Genomic DNA, 26,785 nt, shown 5'->3' on the forward strand with positions numbered 1-26,785 from the left:
TTTCCAGAACTGTGAGAATAAATCTCTGTCATTGTAAACCAGCAACTTTGTGGTAATTTTTATAGCAGCCACTCAAAATTAACACACTCCAATATGTCCAGTTAACCTGAGACTAGGCCAAGAAACTCATGTTCTTATAATATTTTCTGCAAACCTTGCTGTCATGTTTTTATCTGACACCCATCTCAAACTATAATGAAAGAAAATAATTTTGAGACTTCAATGTCCCCCTGTCTGGGGTGTGCCTTCCATAGTTCATTGGAAAAGTCTAGTCTCCTTTCAAGATTTTATTCCAGCAGTACCTCCTCTTGAAAGAATTTAAGGCATTGTTTTATGTTCTCAGTGCACATACTAAAAAGAAAAAGACAAAGACTCATGTCTACTTGATGTTTACATTTTTGCGGGGAGGGAGAGACAGAGATAAACAAATAAGTAAGGCATATAGTGTATTAGCAGGTGATACCTGCAATGCAGAAAAGAAAAGGCAGACTAAGGTGAGGGAGACCAGGACTGTCAGAGTAAGGAGCGTTGAAATGACAATACATTGTTCAGAGTAGGGCCCAATGAGGAAGTGACCTTTGAGCAAAGATTTCAAGGAGATGAAGGAAAGAGACATGTAGGTATCTGGGGGAAAAGAATTCCAGGCAGAGGGAGGAGCCAGTACAAATACCCTAAAAAAATATTTTAGGACCAATGAGGAGGCCCATATGACTGAAAAATTAAGGAAGGGAGTGGTAGGCTTTATTTCCAAGCGGTAATGGGGCAGGATGGATCATTTAAGACCTTGATGGCCTTAAGTGCTTTGTTGTTTTGTTTTCTTATTCCAAATAAAACTGGGAGCTAGTAGATGATTTGGAGATGAGTGACATGATCTAGCATGTTCTAGAGGGCTGAGTTTGAGAGCTAGTTCAGAAGTAGGTGAAAGCAGGGAGATCAGTTAGGAATCTATTGCAGTAATCCAGGAAAAAGATGATGGTGGCCTTGTCCTGAGGGTTAGCAAAGAAGGTGATGAAAAAATGGATGGATTCTGAGTGTATTTTCATGATAGAGCCAGTTGAATTTCCTAATGGATTGGCTATAGGGTGGGATAGAAAAAGAGGATTTGGGAACCACTCTAAGGTTTTCAGCTGGAAGGCTGTTGGTGGAGTAAAGTTGAGGATAATCTTTCATGTTTAGAGCATGCTGTTTGAGAGTGGTGGGGGGAAAATGTTGATTGGAGTGCATTAGAGAGATAATGGGAAAAGAGAATTTGGAGGTAAGTATTGATCATTAGCAATAGCAACAATAGCTACCGTAGATTAAAATGCCCCACAGTCTATGGGGATGTGATACATGAGGGAAGACAGGGCCAGATGGGATGAGGTAGGATCCAGACATCAGACTCAGGAGCTACGAGTGGTATATATAAGGTTAACACCTAGTCAAATGCATAAACAGGTTGATTTTAATTGATGTCAGTTTTTCTCCATTGCCCCCTCTAGAGGCAATCTTCTTCAGAGAACCCTGGCTAGGTCTTCTATGTTTCATGTCCGTAGAGGGAGCTCCTGAGACTGTGGACATTGGCTAATATGCTGATGTCACTGGAGGCCACATCTTACAGGGCCAAGAGACAGATTTGCTTTCCTTTTTCTCATGCTTGTAAGCTCCTTCATCTGGAAATGTGATTTACCTGGGTCCTGCCATGGTTTCCAGGCTTCTCAGTTTAGTGTCCCTTTGTCTCCTGGGAGCAAGTGAGTCTTCAGGTACTTAAATATCTGTGCTGTACCCTATCCCAGTCTATTCATGTCATGTATTCTGTTTTTGTCTCTTCCCACAGAGCACATAGAAGCTGGAGTTACTCAGTTCCCCAGCCACAGCGTAATAGAGAAGGGCCAGACTGTGACTCTGAGATGTGACCCAATTTCTGGACATGATAATCTTTATTGGTATCGACGTGTTATGGGAAAAGAAATAAAATTTCTGTTACATTTTGTGAAAGAGTCTAAACAGGATGAGTCCGGTATGCCCAACAATCGATTCTTAGCTGAAAGGACTGGAGGGACGTATTCTACTCTGAAGGTGCAGCCTGCAGAACTGGAGGATTCTGGAGTTTATTTCTGTGCCAGCAGCCAAGACACAGTGCTTCACAGTCGTGCCCTTGCTGTGCAAAACCATAGCCTTCTCCTCTCAACTCACAGCTGCCCAAAAGGAAGGCTTTCCCTGTGCCTTCTCCCCCAAGGGAGGGGAGATAAAGAACCAGAATTAACTCATGAAATACAAGAGTATTCCAAGAAGATTTGGGTGAAAATACTTGTGGTTTGGGGGATCTCTGAAGTTTTTTAAACAGAACTCAAACTATGTGTTTCTCATATTTATTTTTATTTTTTAAAGTGTATGTTGCCCTGGTTATAAAGCAGACTTCTTGCCTATCTTGCTGCTCTGAAAGGTTTGTGACTCTGACTGTGAGGCCACATCTTTATATCCCTTCTTATAGTAAGAGAAACAAGTCTTTCTGATGAAAATAAAAATAGTGAATAAAAATGCATTTACTACTGGCTTTTAGGATGCTCAATGATGATGCTAGCAATGGTGGTAGTGGTGACGTTGGTAATGGTGGTGATGAGTTTAGGTTGCTTTTGTCTAGCATTTATAAATTTCCAACCACTTTAAAACAATCTCATTTTAGAGTGGAATAGCTAAGTCCATTATCAGAGGTTAATGCTAATTTTCTGTTCACATAGGGTCTGAGTTTTTAATGTAAAAAATATAGTTAGCACTATAAATAGATATCTGTCAGCCGATACAGAACATTTTTTAAGATCACTTCCAGTTGCTGCAATAGGAATATGTATTCCTATTTTTTTTCTTTTTTCTTTTTCTTTTTTTGAGACGAAGTCTTGCTCTGTCGCCCAGGCTGGAGTGCAGTGGCAAAATCTCAGCTCACTGCAACTTCTGCCTCCTGGGTTTAAGCGATTCTCCTGCCTCAGCCTACCAAGTAGCTGGGATTACAGGTGCCTGCCACCATGCCTGGCTATTTGTTGTATTTTTAGTAGAGACGGGATTTCACCATGTTGGCCAGGCTGGTCTTGAACTCCTGACCTCAAGTGATCTGCCTGCCTCAGCCTCCCAAAGTGCTGGGTTTACAGGTGTGAGCTACTGTGCCCGGCCTTTTTTTCTTTTTGAGACAGGGTTTCATTCTGTCACCCCGGCTGGAGTGCCATGGCAGTGTGATCACGGCTCACTACAGCCTCGACTTCCTGGGCTCAAGCAGTCCTCCTGCCTCAGGCTCCCTAGTAGATGGGACTATAGGTGTGCATGACCACACCCAGCTAATTTTTGCATTTTTTGTAGGGACAGGTCTCACTATGTTGCCCAGGCTGGTCCTAAACTTCTTGGCTCAAGTGATCTTCCTGCCTTGGCCTCCCAAAATGCTGGGATTATAGGCATAAGACACCATGCCTGGCCTGGAATATGTAATTTTTAATGAGACCTAATGGTATAATACATTCTACCTGGTTCAACTGCCTTCTTTTAATATCTGGATTCCAATATTCTGCTCATGTTTCAGCCATGTTTTTGCAAACAGTCCTGAAATTCACTCTAATAATAAGTTTCATTTTCCCAGTCTGATTGTTATTTAGCACCTCAAATTATTATTGAACTCATCCTAATCCTGATTAGGCAAATGGATAGTGAGAAAATATTACAAGTGGGCTTGGATTTTAATTTTTTCAAACAATTTAAAACCCATTTTCCTTTTCTAATGATCAAGATCCAATTTTTAGATAATCAGTACTCTCTCTTTCTATGTGGACATGTAATATGAATAGGTATATTGTTTCTGTCACAGGCATCGCAAACTCATATCTTGCTTGAAACTTGTCGATGAACTCCTTTAGTATGACAAGAACAAAGAGAAATAGATTTTTAAAGCATAGCCACATATTGGACATGAGTTTTTCTTCAAAATTTCAGCTGCAGAACCCTAACTGGTGCCTTTCCTTTTATTGTGTTATGTAATCTAAGGTCATAATAAGTAACTAAATTATTGATTTATTTTTCCACTCTGTAATCTCTCCATTATATTTAAAAATAGCAGCTATGAAGCAAAACAAGTTCCTCGTGGGTACATTGCCTCAACTCCAAAATCTAACAAGCAGAAGTTTAATTCAGTGCTTTGCCATTTCATACTATAGACACCGAATGTTCTATCCTATAAGGGGCACACAGTGGTTCTCTTTATAGTTCTGTTAGCTCAAGTGGTATCTTTAGGTACAATTTTTAGAATTTTTTTATTTGTTAATCTTTCTTAAGGTATGATTGACAGAAAAAAATTGTAGGTATTTAAGGTATACAAGGCGATGTTTTGATATACATATACATTGCAAAATGATTACCACACTCAAGTTAATTAACATAACCATCACCTCACAAAGTTACCTTTGTATGTATATGTATGGTGAGAATGATCTACTCTCAGAAAATTTCGAGTGTACAATAATCATTAACTATAGTCACCATGCTGTCCATTAGGTCTCCAGAACTTTCGAGCACACTCCAAAACATCAACTTTTATTCTGATTAAGCCTCAAATATGTCTTCTTGTTGCAAATATTAGCTATTTTTAGATTAGCTATAAATAATGAAAAATGCTAGCATAAAAGATGGAAAGAATAAATGCAGATAAGGGCTCTAAGGTCTTTACACTTTCCAGGAAGTGATAAAAGCTGCAATTTAAATTATACATGAAGAAGTCAAGGATGGCAACTCCTATAAACAGCTGATACTTCAAACCTGGAATGTCTAGTGCTAAGCAGCCCGGACCCCTGCACCCAGCACACCTCTCTTTGGCATGATAGGAGGATGAGGGATCCAGGTCTTCTCCTCCCATGCTGCCCTTGGCCTTTATGTTTTGCCTTTCATTAGTAAGGCTTCTCCCTTAATTATCACCCTATGACAGGAAATTCATCCTAAGCCTGGACACGTGAGAGATGGTAACTCTGAAGCAGCCCCCTGGGCATGACACCAAATGAGGCCACACCCAGAACAAATTGCAAGAAATAACAAGGTATTTCTTACAGAATCCCTAAGAGAACATGTCTGTCTGCATTTAAGTGTCTACAGTCATAAATGCACAGCATATGATTGGATCAGATGGAACTGAAAGACTTTCAGTGCTTCATGGTGCCCATAACTCTCATTGTCCTGAAGTGGTGTTGGCAGTGGACTCAGCAGGGTGCCGTGAGGATGGTGAGGCTACACACATACGATGCTGACCAAGCTGGCTACACAGATGGGCCAAACTCACCCTGTGATGGTAGACAGAGCTTACCAATGGGGTTCCATGAATGGACAATGGGCATGCTGCTGTAATAATCCCTTCGACCATGATGGAAGTCAGGCAAGACCCAGGCCATGGGAACATTGAAAACAGTCACCTCTAGCCTCAAGTATTTCCTACTGTTTGCCACACTGTGCCTACAAATATCATTTATGATACAGCTTAAAATTTTCATGTTTATGAAAATTATTATCAGCCTTATCCAATCTGATATTTTGAATGAAATCACATTAAAACCATATATTAATTTAAGAACTGGCATCTTCATAATAGTGAGTCTTCTACAGTTTCCTAGACCACTAAAAAATCATGGATTGCTATCTCAGACTTGAAATGGGTGATCCTTATTCTTCTCTCAGTCAGAACAGTGAAAGGTACAGATTCATGGCAGCTAGTCCAGCTTCTAAAAGTCAACTTCTAATTGTCTACTTTAGGACAAAAAAGAAATAATATCCTTAGGAAGGCCACCATGGAATTCATTCTATCTGAACAATCCTTACATAATATCATTTCTTATAATATGTCCTCAACATCGTGCTCTGCATATATTTCTCCACCATCTCTAAAAATCCTCTTAGCCCAGGCCTCCTCAAACTTTAATGTGCATGTAAATTATGACCTTGTTAAAATGCAGATTCTAATCCAATCAGTCAGGGTTGGAGCTAAGGTTCCCTGTATTTTGAACAAGAGTCCGTCCAAGTGATGCCAAAGCTGCCAGTCCATGGACCACAATGAGCAGCCAAGCTCTAGATGACACCTACAATAATTACAGGTGTAAGGCCCCTCTTCTCAAGTATCATTTTGCACAGTTCCTGGACTAGGTCAGATACAGACCCTACTTACCACATGTATCTCTGTATTCCAAGTATTACGTAATCATCAGTTTTCCTAAATCTAGGCACCAATATTTTAACATATATTTTCATGGTATAAATAGAAATTAATTTTCTATAGTAAATACACTAATACCTAATCACATTCATGCATCTTTAATGTGAGTAGCAAAAAGCCAAGGCACTATCTTAATGGTTATTGAGTGAGACTTTAGCAAATACTATCTTTATGGAGAAACCTCTGGGCTGCTTTTTAGGATGTGAGAAAAGTGAGGTAAAGTGAGGAGAACTGGATGAACACGGGACAGAGACAGGGACAGGGGCAAATATGGGGACACCTGTCTCAAGGAAGCAGCAAATGATATAGAAAATAAATATCTGTTCCATCCCTGTTCCAGACAAGCCCATGTACCTGCCAAGTAGGAAGCTGTGTATCACATTGCAACAAGGAATGACCCCGGCCCTGGTAAAGTCAACAGCAACAGTCATCACAGGCCAATCTGCCTATCAGGGACTGGAGACTCTCTAAACTCCCACCTCTCAACCCAGGAATCAGAGCCTGAGACAGACAGATGCTTCATTCCTGTATGGGGTGGTATTCCTGCCATGGGTCCTGGGCTTCTCCACTGGATGGCCCTTTGTCTCCTTGGAACAGGTGAGTACCGGGCAGAAAGGAAATCTTTGAGCAAAGCTATCTTGTCCTCAGTCTGCACCTTTCATTCACAGCAGTAACACTGTCCTCCTTAACTCTGACTCCAAATTTGTCTTCTTTCTCTACAGGTCATGGGGATGCCATGGTCATCCAGAACCCAAGATACCAGGTTACCCAGTTTGGAAAGCCAGTGACCCTGAGTTGTTCTCAGACTTTGAACCATAACGTCATGTACTGGTACCAGCAGAAGTCAAGTCAGGCCCCAAAGCTGCTGTTCCACTACTATGACAAAGATTTTAACAATGAAGCAGACACCCCTGATAACTTCCAATCCAGGAGGCCGAACACTTCTTTCTGCTTTCTTGACATCCGCTCACCAGGCCTGGGGGACGCAGCCATGTACCTGTGTGCCACCAGCAGAGACACAGAGCTGCAGTGCTTCCTGCTCTCTGTTCATAAACCTCATTGTTTCCCAGATCCAGGTGCTTTCTCTAGGACTTCTCCCTCACCACCTCTTACAACAATAGGAAGTGGGTTGGTGGCTGTCAATATCTGTAGACAGAAGTTGAGCACAAACCAATAAAAACCATTGACAGTTATGCCAAGAGTGGAAAAGTGGTTACACATGCCTGGCATTCAGTTGGTGGTATTTTCCCAGGATCACATTTAGAACCCATGCTGTCCTTTTCAGAAGACAAATAAGAACTTTTTCTTTCTTTTTTTCATTGTTTTAATCTAAGTCAGAGGCTTAGAAATATAAGAGGTGATATGTGAAGAATTATGGACACCCAATGTCTATAAAGTCCAGTCTCTGGCATTCGATGAACTCTTATAGGATTTAATCCTCCTGGAGAATCCACATGTTTTTAGCCTAGACCTGGAGCAACTACCTCATTAATGGGAGAATGAAAGCACAAGTATCCCAAGATAAAAATTTCTCAGAGGTAAAACCACATTGGAGAGAAAAAAAGAGAAGACCATACATTAATCTGCTCATATCTGGAGTTGGAGGTACTATTGAGATGAGCAAATGGAAACCATAAATACATAAAGAAATGATATTGAAAATAGAGTACATTTGGAGATGAAGATCATGGAGCCATCTGTATAGAAGAGAGTAATAATGTCATTAAGGTGCATAAGAGTGCCAGCAAATGTCAATAAGAAAAACTACAGGAGGGAAGAAGATGGGAGATCCTGCTCCCCTTAACAAAGATAAATAAAATGCTGAGTGAGAAATATTGCAACCTCATAAATTGTCACATGGAAGTATGTATTTATAAATTACCTTATAATTAACATCCCTCAATGAGAACGATATTCTGAGAAAAAAAAGCAGAAAATATAGTTATATGGCTATCTAAAAATGTAAAATTTTGCACATTAAATTAAGATAATCTAGGAAAAATATGACAAGACCTATTACAAAAGAGCTTTTACAAATTGTTTGCTTTAATGATATTAATAACATAATGATAGCTAACATTTACTAAGCACATATTACATGCTAGACCTTAAGTCTTCTTCACATATATTTATAGTTCATGTTAGTTTTATAACAACCTCAGAAAGTTAATACTATAGTAACCTCACTCATTTATCCATGAGGAAACTGAGACACAGACAAGTAACTAGCCCTTTATCACGTATCTCGTTTGTGGTGGAGCCAGTATCAAAATGTAGACAATTTACTGCTGGAGCTCATTCTGTCTTCGGAGTTTACATGGATTCTAAGTCAGACCTTCAGATAGGAAGGTAAATGGTTATAAGCCAGAAGATTTCCACACTCTCACCAACATTGCACTGGCTTTTCTTTGGGTCTTGGCCAGAGGGTGAGCCCTTGTGACTATGCTTCACTGGTTGACTAGCTTTGAGTTGCACCGAGGACCAACATAGAGAAAGAAGGTCTTTGGGTTAAACCTGGGAGGATGAAGGGTAAAAAATGCAGAACTTAAATCTTGATCCCAAGGGATCATTTAAAGATGAATGAGTCTCCCTTAGAGGATGAGAAATTAAACATAAACTCTTTAACTTGCAGAGATGCTGAAGTGTTTTCCTCAAGTAGTAAACTTTGAATCATGGTTATATGCATGGGAGGGAGCCTATGGGGATGGAACATGGATGAAAAAGTGACAGGATGTTCAGGGGGCAGGTGCGGGCAGAAAATCAGCTGCCTCCAAGAGTGGTGAGAGAAGCTGTAGAGCATCCTTTATCCAGACTGGCACAACATGCAGTCCAGAAGGCTGTGAGATACGAGGAAAGGGTCACCATAAACTGCAACCTGACTATGTCAAAAATGACACTTGGAATCCGAGAGTGGGTATGTGTGGTGGTATCACAGATATACACCCACCCCATCCCCGCCCAACTGGGAGATAAGAGACTTACAGGTTTAGCACTTTCACCACTGGGACTAGAACCCTGGATTTAGCTAGAGGCTGGCTTAGACCTTTTCATGGTTCTTCTGTATGAACCACACAATTTAGAACCATACTATTTAGAGATGATCAATTTATACGACCTGCATAAAGCCTGTCTTTCCAGAAGAAGCTCAGGTTCAAAAAAAAAATTGATTCCTCTCTTGTCCTTCTCAATCTTCCCTCCTTCCTTCTTTCCTTTCTTCCTGCCTGCCTGCCTTCCTCATTAAGGATAGACATGAACTAGTCACCTGTATACTCTCTGAGGTATGCTGTTAGTGCTGACAACACATTAGTTCAACCTAGAAAAACTAACCCTGTTTTATTTTATCTTATCTGAGAGTCTGAGACCCCTCTTTGATCCTTAAAAACTTGCCAATTTCTTGCCAAGCAAATATGTGCAGGGTTTTAGAGAGCCGTAGGTAACAGAGACAAAATAGAAACAACACACAGAATTTGGAGGCAAAGCCTTTAGATCTCTAAAGCTTGAGGCCCCACTGCTGCTCTAAGCCTGCCTATGGCACCAGGTTCCTCTGCTATGAGTCCCTCTGCCTCCTGAGGGCAGTGAGTCCTGGGCGTAGATAGTCTGTCTGCCTTGGGCACTCACACTGTAGTCTGTTTCCACACCTTCCTCTGGTAGTCCAATATTCACCCCCATTTTCCTCTCTAGCCCCTGCTCCTACACTCTAGTCCCACAGACTCTGTGGATATCCTAATCACAGAGACAGAAACAGAGGTGACACTCAGATGTGAGTGATGAAACTTACAATGCTGTAAACAAGACTCAGGACTTAGACTGCCTACTGATGTTCATTCTTGTGCCATTTGTTCAGCAAATATGTATTTAGGAACTCCTGTATAACAGACCTTGTTTCCGGTTCTGGAAATAAGGTAATAAACAAACCAGAGAGACTTGTTTTAAACTCCTGGAATTTATAAACCAAAGAGATGTATGTGATGAGAACAGTACGACTCTGGATAAGAAGGAACCTGTTACCTTAACACTGGCCAGTGCAAACCCAGTCTGGCAGACATCTGTGATCCTCTAGACTTGTAAGGAATCCTATAGCTGTATAGCTCTTTGCATTTAAGGGCAAAACTGGACAAGACAGAACCTCACTCTCATGAATCCATGCCCTAAGAAAGAGAAGAAACTTCCCTCATAGGAACATTGGTGCAGTCTCGCAGTTTTCTTATCAAGTAGGAAAATTAGAACTGCTAAAACTTTGTGCCAGAATTTAAGACAAATAAATTGCCTGGATCATGCATTATTTACAATTATATTTACAATTATATACAGATATTTTCCCTAATATAAATCTGTTGATGAACCACTTATGTGGCATATAAATAGGACTTATTAAAAGTTAGATGCGGTGCTTTAGAAGATATATTAAAATTATTAGAGTCTGACTTAAATTTTTAATAGTAATACAAAATATAAAGTACCACAGCCTTGTTCAGAAGAAACAGGATTTCTGAAATCCACCAGAATAGCTTTCTAAAAGCCAGTATCTTATGGCCTTTAGTGGGCTGAAATACTTATAATGATGGATTGGAAAAATGGATGTTTGAGTGCATAAGGTTCACGAGTATAAGAAACAATTGGTACCTCCTAACTATAGATTGTCAGTTTCAGAGGATGAGAATGAATGTGCCCTCATCCTCATTTTAATTTTGAAAGACAATGCAGATATCCCTACTATAGAATCATTTTTTACATCACCACCTATAGAGATTAACAACAGTAGATGTTTCCAGCTCCCTAAGAGGCCAAGAAGTATTAACCCAAGGTCAGATTCAGGTAATTGATCGTGACTCACGAATTTTCAGAGATCCACAATGGTTGTTTTTAAATTTTCAGCAGTTATGTCTTTTTCTCTGGGGAGAGGGTATTCAAAGCTCCTCATGAGGCCATTCTGGACTACTTTTCCCCTCCTGCCCCCTGCCCATAAAACAGTTTACAGAAATAGGTGTCCAGACCGTGGGCTGTAGTTCACCAACTCCTGCTCTAGCCTAATTTTGTCTCATTACTAGAGCATGGCCATTCTGTGGATGCCAGTGAAGCCTTTCTGGGGTTTCTCTCCAATGCCTTTTAAAGCTTTTTCCTACACAGACACAGTTTACTGTTTAGCCAAAAAATTAAGATAATTCCTCCAGACATCTGGAGTTCTTGTGCAGCTTCCTCCTCTCTGGTGGTCTTTCCTTAAAAATTCTAGCTGCCTCAGCCCCCGCTGATTTTGTAACCTGTTTCCGCAACTCAAAATTTGCCATGCTCTGTTGCTCTCTTCCCCACTGTGTATGTGCAGAAATTGCCCCCATGTTTTGGTGTTTTGGCAGAATCCCAGTCCTGTGCTGTCTGCTTTCCAGTGGCTGAATACAATTGTTTCACATATTCTCTTAATTTGTGTTACTTGTATAGAGCAGGATGCTAAAGGCAATTGGATTCTACAAAGTGATCACGTCACAGAGAAGCCGCCGACAGAGGTGGAGAGAGCCACACAGATAGCCAGCTGCCTGTGCTGCCTGCTCTTCCCCTAATTCTGCCATGAGCCCAATATTCACCTGCATCACAATCCTTTGTCTGCTGGCTGCAGGTAAGTCCCTGTTCTGCAGTTGTCAGCTCCCTGCTCTAAGCCTTTCATCCATGTCATCGAACTCCCTCATGGGCTCAGTCTCCAACTCCTGTCTGCTTTCTTTACAGGTTCTCCTGGTGAAGAAGTCGCCCAGACTCCAAAACATCTTGTCAGAGGGGAAGGACAGAAAGCAAAATTATATTGTGCCCCAATAAAAGGACACAGTTATGTTTTTTGGTACCAACAGGTCCTGAAAAACGAGTTCAAGTTCTTGATTTCCTTCCAGAATGAAAATGTCTTTGATGAAACAGGTATGCCCAAGGAAAGATTTTCAGCTAAGTGCCTCCCAAATTCACCCTGTAGCCTTGAGATCCAGGCTACGAAGCTTGAGGATTCAGCAGTGTATTTTTGTGCCAGCAGCCAATCCACAGTGTTAAATATTAGCTAATCTTAGGACACAGACTCATCACGGACTCAGCTCAGGAAGCAGGTGGTATACTAGGTTGGAAGGAAATAACAGAAACTAGAGCTAGCTTAAGCCAAAGGGGAATGTATTATAAGGCTAAATGTATGTCCCATAGAACCACAAAGCAAGAACACAGGAACTTCCCAGAAATAAACTGCAATGAAACCTTAGAACCGGTGGCTCGCGCCTGTAATCCCAGAGCTTTGGGAGGCCGAGGCGGGAGGATCACAAAGTCAGGAGATCAAGACCATCCTGACTAACACGGTGAAACCCTGTCTCTACTAAAAAAAAAAAAAAAAAAAAATAGCCGGGCCTAGTGGTGGGCGCCTGTAGTCCCAGCTACTCGCTACTCGGGAGGCTGAGGCAGGAGAATGGCGTGAACCGGGAGGCGGAGCTTGCAGTGAGCCGAGATCGTGCCACTGCACTCCAGCCTGGACGACAGAACGAGACTCCATCTCAAAAAAACAAAAAACAAAAAAAAACCTTAGAACCATGGCATGGCTGATTGACAACTCATTTTTTATATACCTTGTCGGCCTCATTCTTTTATTATAAGTTGTCTTTTCTGTTTCTTAGGTCTTACAGTGATTAGAAAATTGCAGATTTAGGTGTTAGCCCTCCAGTCAATTGAGACCAACGTGACTTTCTCTCATGCTAGATTACAAATCCAGGGTGCAGGGGGAAAAAATGTGATCCTGCTTTACTCAAGAATGGGCTCGTGGAAATCCAAGGGAATTGAATTATTTTGAACAAGATAGTATCTGGGAGTCTGTCCCTCTGACCTTGTGGACCAAGGATTTCAAGGGGTGGAATCCAGTCAGAACATCCAATAGGCACCCATCACAAGTGAGAAGTTGGGGATAATACATTTTCTGGAATATAGAGACCTTGGGAAAAGAGAAGAGTTTGGAGAGGGGATCAAAACCTTATTATTTAGAACAATATCAGACCACGTAAAGAGTCTGGTTAATCTCTCTTTAAGAAATTAAACCGGCCAGGTGTGGTGGCTCACGGCTATAATCCCAGCACTTTGGAAGGCCAAAGCAAGCAGATCACCTGAGGTTGGGAGTTCAAGATCAGCCTGACCAACATGAAGAAACCCCATCCCTACTAAAAATACAAAATTAGCCAGGTGTGGTGGCACATGCCTGTAATCCCAGCTACTTAGGAGGCTGAGGCTGAAGAATTGCTTGAACCTGGGAGGGGGAGGTTGTGGTGAGCCGAGAGCGCACCACTGCACTCTAGCCTGGGCAACAAGAGCGAAACTCTGTCTCAAAACAATAAATAAATAAATAAAATAGAAGGAATAAAAAGAAATTAAACCTAGATAACACAAAAAGCATGTTCATTTTAAGTGTGACAACTTCAGATCCTACAAATTCACTAATTGGCCTCTATGGCACTGAAGGAGAACAGATTAATGTACTCTTGGTGTAAAACATATTAATGCACAGAGAATTAAAAGATCTTCAGGTATATGATTCAAATTGTAATGAGGGGCAATGTACTCAACATCAATATTCCTAATGAGGCATTATGGTATCAACTGTACCTAGGCAGGAGACTACACTTATGTTGAGCAGTTATAGAATTCAAAATAACTCTGTTAAAATTTGATAATCCATTCTGTTCACAGATCTGGTCACCACCTAGCATTCGCTTTGAGAGAAGTTCCTTTATTCTCTCCAGTTACATCTGCTCTTATTTCAGTATAAGTTGAACCCAGTTGTCTTACTTCCAGAAGTCCAAAGTTACTTCTTTTCTTGGGAAAAAAATTTACTGTGACTCCTGGAAACAGAAGTTCTCACTTTATCATTTTTCTGATCTATTTAATATTATACCTTCTCATTTTAAGTTCCTTTTCCCGCTCTCCAGAAGTGAGTGTTCCTTAGCGTTCTGTTCTCGGTCCCCCTCAAGCCCAGTCTTGCTGTTGGTGGTCTACATCTTTGCTTTTGTCACAGGGAAGTCACTCCTCTAGATGCTATCTTCAGCTTTTTCTTGAAATATTTCCATTCTACCAAAACTGTTCTCCTAAAGATTAAAATTACGTATTTCCCAGACCAAAAGACGCATGTGTGTTTCTTTGCCTGCTTGATCTCTTTGAAGCTCTTGACAATACTGACCATGCCCTAAGTCCTGAGCATTAATTTTTGCTCAGTTTCATTTACATCATTTTCAACTAGTTTCTCATTTTCTCTCTATTCTTTTTGTTTTCAATGCAGCTCCCAGAAACTAAATCTATCCATTTAATATTCTTTTTCCCAGGAAAATTCTTCTCATTCTATTTAAAGTGTAATATTCTAGTTTAATGGGAAAGTTTTTTGTTGTTGTTGTTTAGCCTTTTAAAAATCTCTACTGAAAAAATTTTGGATATGAAAATTAGCCAGGCATGGTGGCGGGAGCCTGTAATCCCAGCTACTCAGGAGGCTGAGGCAGGAGAATCGCTTGAAACTTGGAGGCGGAGGTTGCAGTGAGCTGAGACTGCACCACTGTGCTCCAGCCTGGGCAATGGAGAGAGACTCCATCTCAAAAAAAAAAAAAAAAGAAAAGAAAAGAAAAAATTGTGAAATGTGGTCTGAGACAACTTTTCTCAGTGTCACCTGAGGCATGGGTTAAACAGGTATATTCTAGGACAGGTTCAGAATTTCAGAGTCGAAATTTCTTGTTGGTGGACTTTAGGAATACGTATCATTGCTCCTGAGTATTTCTGTTAGTGCTGAAGTTCTGCCCCAAGGACTTCGTAAGATTAATAACATCGCAAATCTTCTGTAGTGCTTTAAAATTTTGTTCTTCATTTTTTTATTCTCACTTTCTTCTCTTTCCTTTTCCACTTCCTCTTATGTTTTCCTTAATCTTCAACTTTCCTAAGCACCTGCAAGTGGGATTGGAGCCTTGTTTAACATCGTCCATGTAGCAAAATAAGGATGAGGCCAAATATTTGAACCAAGGATCCCCATCTCCTATGGAAGGTGCCCTGAGGTTGTGGGTGTTGCTGGGGACATGATGTCATGGCCAGATCCTACATCATGCGGCCAAGGGAACCCAGAACTTTCACTGCTCTTTGCTACTGCACATCAGAACCCATCGCTGGGAGTGTCTTGCACTGCCTGACCTCACCATGGATATCTGGCTCCTCTGCTGGGTGACCCTGTGTCTCTTGGCGGCAGGTGGGTCCAGGTATACTTAAACATTTGCATAAAGATGTTTTTGGCTGGGCGTGGTGGCTCACAGCCGTAATCCCACCTTTTTGGGAGGTTGAGGTGAGTAGATCACCAGAGGTCAAGAGTTCGAGACCAGCCTGGTCAACGTGGTGAAACACCTTCTCTACCAAAAAATACAAAAATTAGCCAGGCGTGGTAGTGTGCTCCTGTAGTCCCAGCTACTTGGGAGGCTGAGGTGGGAGGATCACTTGAATCTGGGAGGTAGAGGCTGCAGTGAGCAGAGATCACGACATTTCACTCCAGCCTGGGCAACACAGAGAGACCCTATCTCAAAAAAAAAAGATGTTTTCTTTGGGCTTCCCTTCACCTTCTATGGCTTCCGTCTTCTTCCACAGGACACTCGGAGCCTGGAGTCAGCCAGACCCCCAGACACAAGGTCACCAACATGGGACAGGAGGTGATTCTGAGGTGCGATCCATCTTCTGGTCACATGTTTGTTCACTGGTACCGACAGAATCTGAGGCAAGAAATGAAGTTGCTGATTTCCTTCCAGTACCAAAACATTGCAGTTGATTCAGGGATGCCCAAGGAACGATTCACAGCTGAAAGACCTAACGGAACGTCTTCCACACTGAAGATCCATCCCGCAGAGCCGAGGGACTCAGCCGTGTATCTCTACAGTAGCGGTGGCACTGCATGGCTGAGTCAGTTCCCTCCAGGGTGCAAACCCTCTGGCTGCTCTTCTCCCAGTTGAACTCCAAGAAAACATTTGAAAAAGCCTCTTCCTTATCTTCCTACCCCAGAAGAAAGAAGCGAGTTGATTGTTGTGGCTGCAGCTGCTACCGGGAGAGTACAAGACCATGAATTAAGGTCTTAAATGGTCATGATGGGCACACTGGACAATGGGCTCCTGAAACTACCCAAATACAAAATGAGACATTCTGTGGATCAGGAGGAATCCACATGTTTAGAAGGAAGGGCCCCAGACCAATTTCCAAGTTCAGAGACCAGCTATCTGAGGTTGATATTACTTACCAAAACACAAAAACATTCCTACTGATTTTATCTCAAACACAGTTCTCCTGCAAACTCTTCCCCCACCAACGTACCCCAGCAGAGGCAATGACATGTACATTTATGGAACAGCCTGTTGACTACTGCAGATCCATCTCTTCAATAAGACCAACTTTCCCTGGAGGTCAGTGACTAAACCAAACCGCAAGGCAGACGGCAACACGACCCTCTTAGGGGATGGATGCCAGAGAAACACTGACTAAAATCCCCACTCGGGGACTGTCCTAGCACATTCAGTTCCTCACACAGCTGCCCAGGGGAGCGCGACGTTTTATTCTGTTACTTCAAACACTCATCTGTTCCTCTCTCTCTCTTGCAGGCCCTAGACTCACAGACACTGGAATTAGAGTCAGAAAAATTGCTTTCTAATCCCAAAACTGGTTTTGTTTACTCCCCTTCAGCTGTGAAATCTTGGCAAATGCTCTTACTTCTCTGGGACTCAGTGTCCTCCTCTTCAAAATTAGAGACTTGCTCCACTTAGTCTCTAAGATCTGATACAAATATGATTATTTGACTTGCTATTTATTTATTTATACAAATATTAGAATATTTATGTATACATTTAACATAAATATATTTATATTTAATAAAAACATAAAATTTATAACATTTTATATAAATTTATATCAATAATATATATTTATTGATATACTTATATCACATAAGAGATATATAAATATATGCAAATATATTTTATGTAAATTTTAATACAAATATAAAAAATACATTTTCTATATAAGTATATATAAATACTTATATATAAATGTATTTTATACATTTATATATAAATATATATATAAATATATATTTATATATAAATATATATATAAATATATATTTATATATAAATATATATATAAATATATATTTATATATAAATACAAATACTTATATATATTTATATATAAGTATTAATATATAAATATATGTGTTTATATATTATTATATATAAATAATATATAAATATATGTGTTTATATATTATTATATATAAATAATATATAAATATATGTGTTTATATATTATTATATATAAATAATATATAAATATATGTATTTATAATATTTATCTATTTATCTATCTACAGCTATTTTACACATGTGACAATCAGGGTTGCGATGGAAGACATCACTACAAGCTGGAAAATATGAACATAATTACATATGCAGATAACACAGATCCAGAGACTATCTGATTGCAAGGAACATTATAGATCACCCCTATATACCATAACTTTGAAGCTAATTTGAAATGTGGTTTGTGAAAGTATTATACATTTCCTGCAATCCCCTCCACTGCTGCTAGATGGCAGTAAAGGAACGTGTTAGAAAGTCTGGGGAGGGGACCTCATGATTTATTTACCGCGCAGTCATGATTTACCACGCAATCACGGTTTAGTCTTGTTGTCCTGTCATAATTAATAGTATCCTCTTTCACATACAAAAGTGTCTCAATTTGAACATTAAACTATACGGTCATTGTAGATAATGACACAAATGATAGCATCTCTGTTGAAAGTAAATTGTTTATTAATGTTGCAGTACCTTCATTTCTTTGTTTCGGTTTAATGAAATAGATTTTTTAAATTATAGAATAAATAAACACGAAGCTATAGCATTGGTCTGCTTTTTGTCATTTTACTATTTAAATATATCTCAGCCCTACTTACAGTTTGTATTAGCGATATATGGTGTATGAAGCCTCAACTTAAAAACTCAGCTTGGTCTTCGTAGTGCTTCTGTCACTGTCTGCCCAGCACCCACTGCCTCTCAATGTGTTCCAACGTTTCCCAATTCCTACCTGCTAATAAACCTACCAGGATATTTCCAGACCTATTTTCTCTGTGAAGAAAACCAAGCGACATTGACTTTCCCTCATTCATCTACTAATACATAAATGTCACCACATGCCAGTGACAACGGGGTAAAATAAGTAATAAAAGTGAAATAGGATAAAAGAATTGTTATACATTTATTGGCCTTCCGGAGAAATCCACCCTCTTCTCTCTAGTCTCCTGCGCACCCTGCCAACAATGTCATTGGCTGTAAAAATACCTCATGTTCATTTAACACTCTACAGTTTACTGAGTAATTTGTTGTTTTATTTTCATGCTTTAATTATATGTTTCCAGGTTCTCTGAGCTTTTGAGCTCCTGCTCTTCCCAGATGGGCTTTCATAACAAGGCCAGCCCCTTTCTCTCTCCCCTTCCGCCAGTGCCCATCATTTGAACCAAATTTTCTTCCTGTCTCTCTTACTTGATTCTTTCCCAACCTGTGCCTTCTGTTTGGTCTCTTAAAATATTTCCCTATTCAGTGATAACTCCCTTAATGAAGGCATCTTTATTGACTGCCTTGGAAATCCTCAGAATTATAGAAACATCTTTCATGTCCACCTTGGCATGTTTTATATGTTTCACATATATTTTCATAAATAATAAAAAAGTTATATATTTTCCATACGTAATAAAAATGTCCCTTCAACATGCGTAATATATAACAAGATTAGTGATCTTCCACCTAATGTCTTGGACAATGTGACTTCTGTCTGATAGGTATAGTCTTTGACCCCTACTTACTCATGATTAAAGAAATACCTTTCTCTCAAAGGAACTATCTGTGTTCACAGCGTTAAGTCTCATCCTGGATGCCGCAAGAAGACGTTCAAATGTCCACTGCCCACCCAGGTATGTGATGCTGCCTGCCATGGGTCACTAGAAGGTGATAGTTAAAAGTGTAGGCTCTGGAATCAAACAATGCAGACCACAATTCTGGCTCCTCTGCTCAAATGCTATGTGAACGTGAGCAAGACTGTGAACCTCTCTATGCCTCACTTCCTCACCTCTAAAATGAAGATAATAGTACCTACCTGAGGCTGAGCACAGTGGCTCATGCCTGTAAATCCCAGCATTTTGGGAGGCCGAGGTGGGTGGATCATCCCAGGTTGGGAGTTCGAGACCAGCCTGACCAACATGGAGAAACCCTGTCTCGACTAAAAATACAAAATTAGCTGGGCGTGGTGGCACATACCTGTAATCCCAGCTACTCAGGAGGCTAAGACAGGAGAATCTCTTGAACTCGGGAAGCGGAGGTTGTGGTGAGCCAAGATTGCACCATTACACTCCATCCTGGATGACAAGAGTGAAACTCTGTCTCAATAATAATAATAATAATAATAATAATAATAATACCTACCTGATAGTATTGGGTTAAATAAGATAATTCATGAAAATCCCTAGTGTGGTGCCTAAAACTCAAACGCTAATATACATAGGTTTGGCCTAATATTATGAGGTGTTATTATTTAGGATTGCTGTGCTTCAGCTTTTTGTTGAGTTTCACGGTTTGGCTCTTACTGGACCACTGACAGAAGCAACTCCATGACTGGTTATTCTGTCATTACCCCCAGATACTGTGCGATACCTTCCAAATCTACTACAAACAACGAGTGTGCATTTCTCTTGCTTGTTCCATCCAAGAGGAAAGAGATCTGTCCAGAGATGTCATTCTGCTTCAGTCAACCCAGCCGTGCCAGACAATATCAGCATAAATGTCAAAATTACCATATGTGGTCAACATATGCTGATACTGTGACCATATGCTACATGGGACTTGTTCCCTTAATTGTGAATAAGAGAACTATTCGTGTAGGTGTTATTATCCCCAATTTTATAGGCTCAGAAAGAGTAATAATTGGTCCAATGTCTCACAACTGTATGTTTCATGGCAAAGATTGGAAATGAAGCAATAACTTTTTTCTAGTAAAATTACAAGAATGACCTTAATTTCTTTCTAAGCAAACGTAGTGTATCATCACAACAGTTATGTTAAATCAGCTCAATAATCTCCTAGAAGAACATATTATAATATTCATTAGAGGTGGTATGGGCTTTAAGAGGGAGAAAAAACTAGGCAGGATATTGCTATACGTGAAGTACCATGCTAGATATTTCACATATGGTATTTCATTTCATCCATACCAGCAACCCAAAATTATGTTATTTATCCCTGTTTTACTAACAAAGAAATTGAAGTTTAAGGAGGGTAAGTGCAGGATGAACACTAAGCCAATTGTAGAGCTGGCTTTTGTAATCAGGGATTTTATTTAATTCGATTTGCTCTACTATCATCATGTTGAATTAAGAATGGCAAAGGGCTGGGTGCACTGGCTGACACCTATAGTTCTAGCTACTCGGGAAACTGAGGCAGGAGGGTTGCTTGATCCCAGGAGTTCGAGGCTGCAGTGAGATATGGTCATGCCACCGAACTCCAGCCTGGGTAACAGAATGAGACCCTGTCTCTAAAAATTTAAAAAAAAAATAAGAAATTTTCAAAAAAGAATAAAAATTAAAATATATATATATTTTAAGGCTGGGTGCGGTGGCTCACGCCTGTAATCCCAGCACTTTGGGAGGCTGAGGCGGGCGGATCACGAGGCGGGAAATCAAGACCATCCTGGCTAACATGGTGAAACCCCATCTCTACTGAAAAATACAAAAAATTAGTCGGGCGTAGCGGCGGGCGCCGGTAGTCCCAGCTACTCGGGAGGCTGAGGCAGGAGAATGGCATTAACCCAGGAGGCGGAGCTTGCAGTGAGCTGAGGATCATGCTACTGCACTCCAGCCTGGGCGACAGAGTGAGACTCCCTCTCAAAAACAACAACAACAACAACAACAACAAAAATTTAAAAAAATGTGTGTGTGTGTGTGTGTGTATACATATATATACTTTTTTTTTTTTTTTTAAAGAATGAGAAAGGAACTAGAACAAGCAGAGAGAAAAAGCCCAGGGGCACGACAGCTAAAGGATGACTAATGGAAGTTGAAAATAGGAAGCTGAAAGGTACAGAAATACTGCGGGAAGACAAACTACAAATTATGTGGAGAAAGACAAGAATAAGAACAGTTCCCAGAGGTCTGAACACAGCACATTATGTCTTCTTGCTATACAGTGGCCACCAAACTTGTCAATACTGTAGGCAAATGCTAGTGTCATTGCTTGTGGCTAAGCAGAAATTTTGACACTTGGGAAGGTTGGCATGAGATTGAACAGTTGCCATGGTGACCTGCCATAGATATTTTGATTGATGATGAGTAGACACAAAGTGCCAATGCTTAAGACCTAGCTTCAGATACTTAGGATTTAGTGGAGAGGCTGTTTTGACTATTTCTTTTCTTTTCTTTTCTTTTGAGACAGAGTGTCGCTCTGTCTCCCAGGCTGGATGGAGTGCAGTGGCACGATCTCGGCTCACTGCAAGCTCTGCCTCCCGGGTTTACGCCATTCTCCTGCCTCAGCCTCCCGAGTAGCTGGGACTACAGGCGCCCACTACCATGCCCGGCTAATTTTATGTACTTTTAGTAGAGACCGGGTTTCACCGTGGTAACCAGGATGGTCTCCATCTCCTGACCTCGTGATCCGCCCACCTCGGCCTCCCAAAGTGCTGGGATTACAGGCGTGAGCCACCACGCCCGGCCTGACTATTTCTGACATCTGACTTAGGCTGCACAGGAGGTGGGGTTTCTTGACAGGGAGGAGCTAATGTAGGGACTGTGATGTGCCAGGCTATTTGGGTTGGGGTGGAGAAACCACAGAGAGACAGACATAAGCTCTCTCCCTTATTTATAGGACATACCTACTGGTCCTGCCCTAGGCCCCAGATTCTTTGTTAGTGGCCTTTTCTACTGGGAGCAGGTGGGGCATTCCAGTTTCAGGTGTTCTGGGACCTGGCTTGCAGTTTTTCACTGATGGCTGCATCATTAGGCTCGCTCTTTTGCCCTTTCCTCAGTTCCTGTCTTTTTTTCACTTTCAGTCACCTAGAAACGACAATATCCAATCAGAAGTTGAGAATGAGACAAGTTTGGGAAGACATTGAGGAATGTCTCATATTGTGGTATTGATAAATCTAGAGATGGGGCCACAGCTTGCTTATAGCTGCTTAGAGTAAAATGATTAATCAGAAAAAGTAATTTCCAAGGATTTGTAGTCAGTCTGCCTGAGGCTAATACATTTATTCACAGCAAAATATCTGCTGCCTAAAATGACTCTGCAAGTTACCCCTACAATACCAGCTACTCAGAGTGATGCAATCACCTGGTTGCAATAGGAAATTATCCTGGCTTCAGTTATCTAGTAGAACAGGTGTACATATCAATCTTAGAGCTCTTGAGAAGACCCAGTAGCCCCAGACCCGTGCAATTATATTATAAGCACTCAAGTAACTTCTCAGCTAAAGGAAGAATGATGAAGCAGGAAAGAGAGAAAAATGATTTGTATTTTTTGTGGTTAACTTGCTTAGAAATTTTAGGGAGGATAAACTCAATCTTGACTAATAGGAAATTTAATTAATTTAGAGAGTTATTAAATAATAGCTCCTCCACATCAGGGACTATGATAAATGTTATTAACAACACAAAGAAGAATAAGACTTTCCCTTCTAGGAACATACCATTTAGTGGGAAGAAAGACAGACAGATACACACACACATACACACACACATGCACATACACTTAAACAGAAGTGGTAGAGGCTGAGGGAAATCCCATAAGATAGACATAAAGAAAGTGCTCCATTTGCTCAGAGTTAGAGGTGAAAACCAAGAATATTGGCAGAAAAGAATGTTTTAAAGCAACTTTGAATGATTCTTCCAATGATATTGGAATTAGAAAATGAAGGTTTAGGCAGAGTGGGGAGCAGGACAGTCACTGAAGTGGGAAGGCACACATGGGCTCAGCAAAACCGGAGCACAGTGTAATATCATTAGGGGTGAAGTCAAGAAAAGTAGCTTAAAATTAAGCCATAGAGAATCCAAAGATTTTAAATTTTCTTTTGATTTCAAAAATGATCTTTTCATATTATTGAGCCAGAAAATAATTAAGTCATCTATATATTAGACAAAGTTGTCAAAAGCAACTAAATGGAGGGATGTTAAAATGGGAAAGAAAAAAGCTAGCACATTTAACCTATAGCTAACAATACTGTATTATACACTTAAAAATGTGTTAGCAGGGTAAGTCTCATAGCACAAACAATAAAATAAATTTCTTAAAGAAAAAGTTAACTATTGGAATAGCCTAGACAAGAAATTATGAGGCTTTGAACTGAAACAACAGGAACAGAATTTGAAAGAGGAGAATAAACCCTTGGGATACAGAATGAACAAAATTTTAACACTGTCTGCTGTAAAAAGTGAGGGAGATCAGAGGGATTAAGGTGACCCTTGGATTTCAAGAATAAAAATATGGCCAACAAATCCAGGGAACACAGATGAAAGAGAATATTCAATAAAGAAGACATACAAATTCAAATGGGGTCATTCTGAAATTGTGGCACATTTGAGATATCCTCATATCTATCCTTATAATCAAAACAAACTCACTATCTGCTCATTCTATGACCAGTGACCTCACTCACTGCTGCCTTATACTTCAGGGCTTACACGTAGACACACACACACACAGGCACACACACACACACACACACACACACACACACACACTAAGAAAAGTAGCTTAAAATTAGACCATAGAGAATCTAAAATTTTAAAATTTAGAACAGATCTTCATCTGAGCCAGGAACCATTCATCTATGGCTTCTGTCATTTAATAGAATAAACAAAATCTGCATATGAATCCATGCAGAACTCCAAGTTCAGCATGGTTTCTCACTGTTCTCAGAGCTGGTACCTGAAGCTGCAGGTGTGCATTCTCTGCCACACTCTGTAATGGATGAGTGGAAATTCTTCCATAAAGCTTTTGTCTATTGGGAGCAGGTAAGTCTAGGCAAAGTATGCACAATTTTTTTTTCTGGGATACCCAGTGGAAAAAAATAGAAAAGCATCATTTTTAAAGTACTGAAAGAAAAAAAGTCAACCTGAAACAACCTCATTCTAGCCAGGGCAATTAGTCATTTCAAGAAAATAAGAGACAATCAGACTAGAAAGGAAGATATAAAACAATCTCTAACTACAGTTGACACTTGACATAATCTTGTATATAGAAAATATGAATTCTCACACACATACACATGTACACAGACAACTCCACTAGATTTAATAGGCAAGCTCAGCAAGGTGCAGAATAAAAGATTGATACCAAAAGTTCTATTGTATGTCTGTATGTTAGCAATGATATGAAAATGAAATTAAGAGCAGAATTATGTGTATAATTCCAACAAAATAATAAAATATCTTGGCATAAATTAAACAACAACAAAAAAAAAAACAGAAAAGACTTGTGGGCTGAAAGGTGCAAAATATTGTTGAAATTAAAGACCTAATAGAAAGATACTCCATGTTCATGGGTTGGAGGGCTTAACATTGTTAAGTGGCAACACTCCCCAAATTGATTTATAGATTCATCTCTGTCAAAATTTCAAAATTCTAGTTGTATTTTTTTTTTGGAAACTGATAAACCAAAGTAAAAATTCATATGGAAGTCCCAAGTACCAAGATCAGCCAAAACAATGTTGTAAAAGTAGAAAAAATGTTGGGCAACTCACACTTCACAATTTCAAAGCTTATTACTAAACTACATTATTCAAAACAGTATGGTTCTGGAACAGGATAAACATATAAATCAATGGAATAGAATTGAGAACCCTCAAATAAATTCATAAATTTATGGGCAATTAATTTTAGACAAGAGTGCCAGCCAAGACCATTCAATGGGGAAAGAATGGTAAATGGTACCAGGAAAACTGTGTATGTATGTGTAAAAGAGTGAAGTTGTATCTTGTCTCATACCATAAACAAAAAATAACTCAAAATGAATTAAAGACCTAAATGTAGAAGCTAAAACTCTTGGAAGAAGGCATAGGTATACATCTTTGTGACCTTGGTGTGTATGTAACCAGCAGCAAATCCATATGGGTCTGCAGTAAACTCAATTCTAGCTCCTAGGAGGAGAGAATTTGGCCAAGGGGCAGAAAGAAGTTTAAGGCAGAGGAAAAGACCCGGGCAAGTTTTAGAGTAGTAGTAAAAGGAAGCAAAGTATACTTGGAAGAGGGCCAAGCGGGTGACCTGAGAGACCTAAGGGCCCTGTTTAGCCCTTGACTTAGGGTTTTACACATCACCATGGTTCTAGGGTTTGTGTTTCTCCTCCCTTGATGTTTTCACCTTGGGGCAAGCTGTCTGTGTGCTCAGTGGCCTGCCAGCACTTGGGAGGGGCTGCTCATGTAGTGTTCTTACTGGAGTTGCGCACATGCTCACTTGAGGCATTTTTCCCTTACCAGTGGGGTGTTCCTAGAGTCATATGTTAGTTAAACTCCGTCATTTAGCCTCTGTGCACATGCTTGAGCCCACTCGCCCAACTCCAGAGATCTTATCGGGAAGCTGCTGATTACAAGCTCCAGATGTTTTTTTATCTATGTGGAAACTGTCTTTCCCGGATGCTGGTTGTGACTAATTATCATCTTTGAGAGACAGTTTAACAACCACCTGACCATCACCTGATGATCACCTGACATTCTGGAGTGTGTGTGGTGGGGGTCGGGGGGAGGGGGGAGAGGGGGTCTCTTCTCCTGCCCTCTTCATATCTGCCTACCTATTCTAACAGGTATACATGAAGCAGATTCGCTGTGCACTGTTACTAATTCCAGGGGATTGTGTTAATTTTCCAGGGAGAAATGCATGAAGGATAGTGGAGGTCATCACCATGCCAACCACCACTTCACAGCCCACTGCATCTTGAACTGCAATTTCCATCACTTGCCTGATTCATATAACAAGTTGAGCAAAGCAACTTTATTACTCACAGACAGGCAGCAAAGGACAGTAGAAGCTTAGGATTCATGGTGAGTTTGTCTCTCAAGGCTCAGAAAAACTACACAGGATGGATAGAATCTTGCCTGCATATGCCTCATGTTGCATTGCAGCTGAGTGGCTCTGAAAGTGCACTCTGTCCTGGGTTTTAAACCCAGGGGCTACATTTAATGGGTTAAAGCACTGTGGGACATCCTGTTCCAGGAGAGACAAGAACAGAGGCCAGGATTTTCCTGCCAGTTCCTCATTATCACAGGATGTGGTATTGCTAGCACATCCTACAGTTATTCTTAAGAACTATAAAAGAGAAAAGGGAGATCCACATTGCCAAGGCCATCCAGGGACTTATCCTTCAGAGTAGGCAGTGACTTCTTAAATATGAAACTCAAAACACAGGCAACCAAAGAAAAAGATAAATTTGACTTAATAACATTTTTTAAAGTCTGTGCTTCAAAGGACACTTTCAAGAAAGACAACCCCAAAATGGATATATACTTGCAAATCATATATCTCACAGGGAATTGTATCAAGGA

General features: G+C 40.3%; 1 pseudogene, 3 gene segments (V, D, J or C) and 1 further gene, besides 13 other annotated features; all 5 read left to right on the forward strand.

Moving 5' to 3' along the window:
• The window catches only part of TRB (T cell receptor beta locus), a 514,277-nt gene that overhangs the window by 287,235 nt on the left and 200,257 nt on the right, over window positions 1–26,785 (forward strand).
• TRBV14 (T cell receptor beta variable 14) lies at window positions 1,682–2,114 on the forward strand. The segment is given in 2 exon segments: window positions 1,682–1,730; window positions 1,817–2,114. Coding segments are annotated over 2 exon segments (347 nt in total), but the record flags the coding sequence as incomplete, so codon positions are not given.
• Window positions 2,115–2,121: a recombination feature (RSS_heptamer).
• Window positions 2,122–2,144: a recombination feature (RSS_spacer).
• Window positions 2,145–2,153: a recombination feature (RSS_nonamer).
• Window positions 6,760–7,228, forward strand: TRBV15 (T cell receptor beta variable 15). The segment is given in 2 exon segments: window positions 6,760–6,808; window positions 6,934–7,228. Coding segments are annotated over 2 exon segments (344 nt in total), but the record flags the coding sequence as incomplete, so codon positions are not given.
• Window positions 7,229–7,235: a recombination feature (RSS_heptamer).
• Window positions 7,236–7,258: a recombination feature (RSS_spacer).
• Window positions 7,259–7,267: a recombination feature (RSS_nonamer).
• TRBV16 (T cell receptor beta variable 16) lies at window positions 11,771–12,224 on the forward strand (annotated as a pseudogene). Its single transcript is given in 2 exon segments — window positions 11,771–11,819; window positions 11,927–12,224. Coding segments are annotated over 2 exon segments (347 nt in total).
• Window position 12,027, forward strand: a sequence feature (variation - t at this position converts a stop into tyrosine.).
• Window positions 12,225–12,231: a recombination feature (RSS_heptamer).
• Window positions 12,232–12,254: a recombination feature (RSS_spacer).
• Window positions 12,255–12,263: a recombination feature (RSS_nonamer).
• On the forward strand, window positions 15,383–16,115 carry TRBV17 (T cell receptor beta variable 17 (non-functional)). The segment is given in 2 exon segments: window positions 15,383–15,431; window positions 15,821–16,115. Coding segments are annotated over 2 exon segments (344 nt in total), but the record flags the coding sequence as incomplete, so codon positions are not given.
• Window positions 16,116–16,122: a recombination feature (RSS_heptamer).
• Window positions 16,123–16,145: a recombination feature (RSS_spacer).
• Window positions 16,146–16,154: a recombination feature (RSS_nonamer).

This window comes from Homo sapiens, chromosome 7 (assembly GCF_000001405.40).
Source record: "Homo sapiens chromosome 7, GRCh38.p14 Primary Assembly".
NCBI lineage: Eukaryota > Metazoa > Chordata > Mammalia > Primates > Hominidae > Homo > Homo sapiens.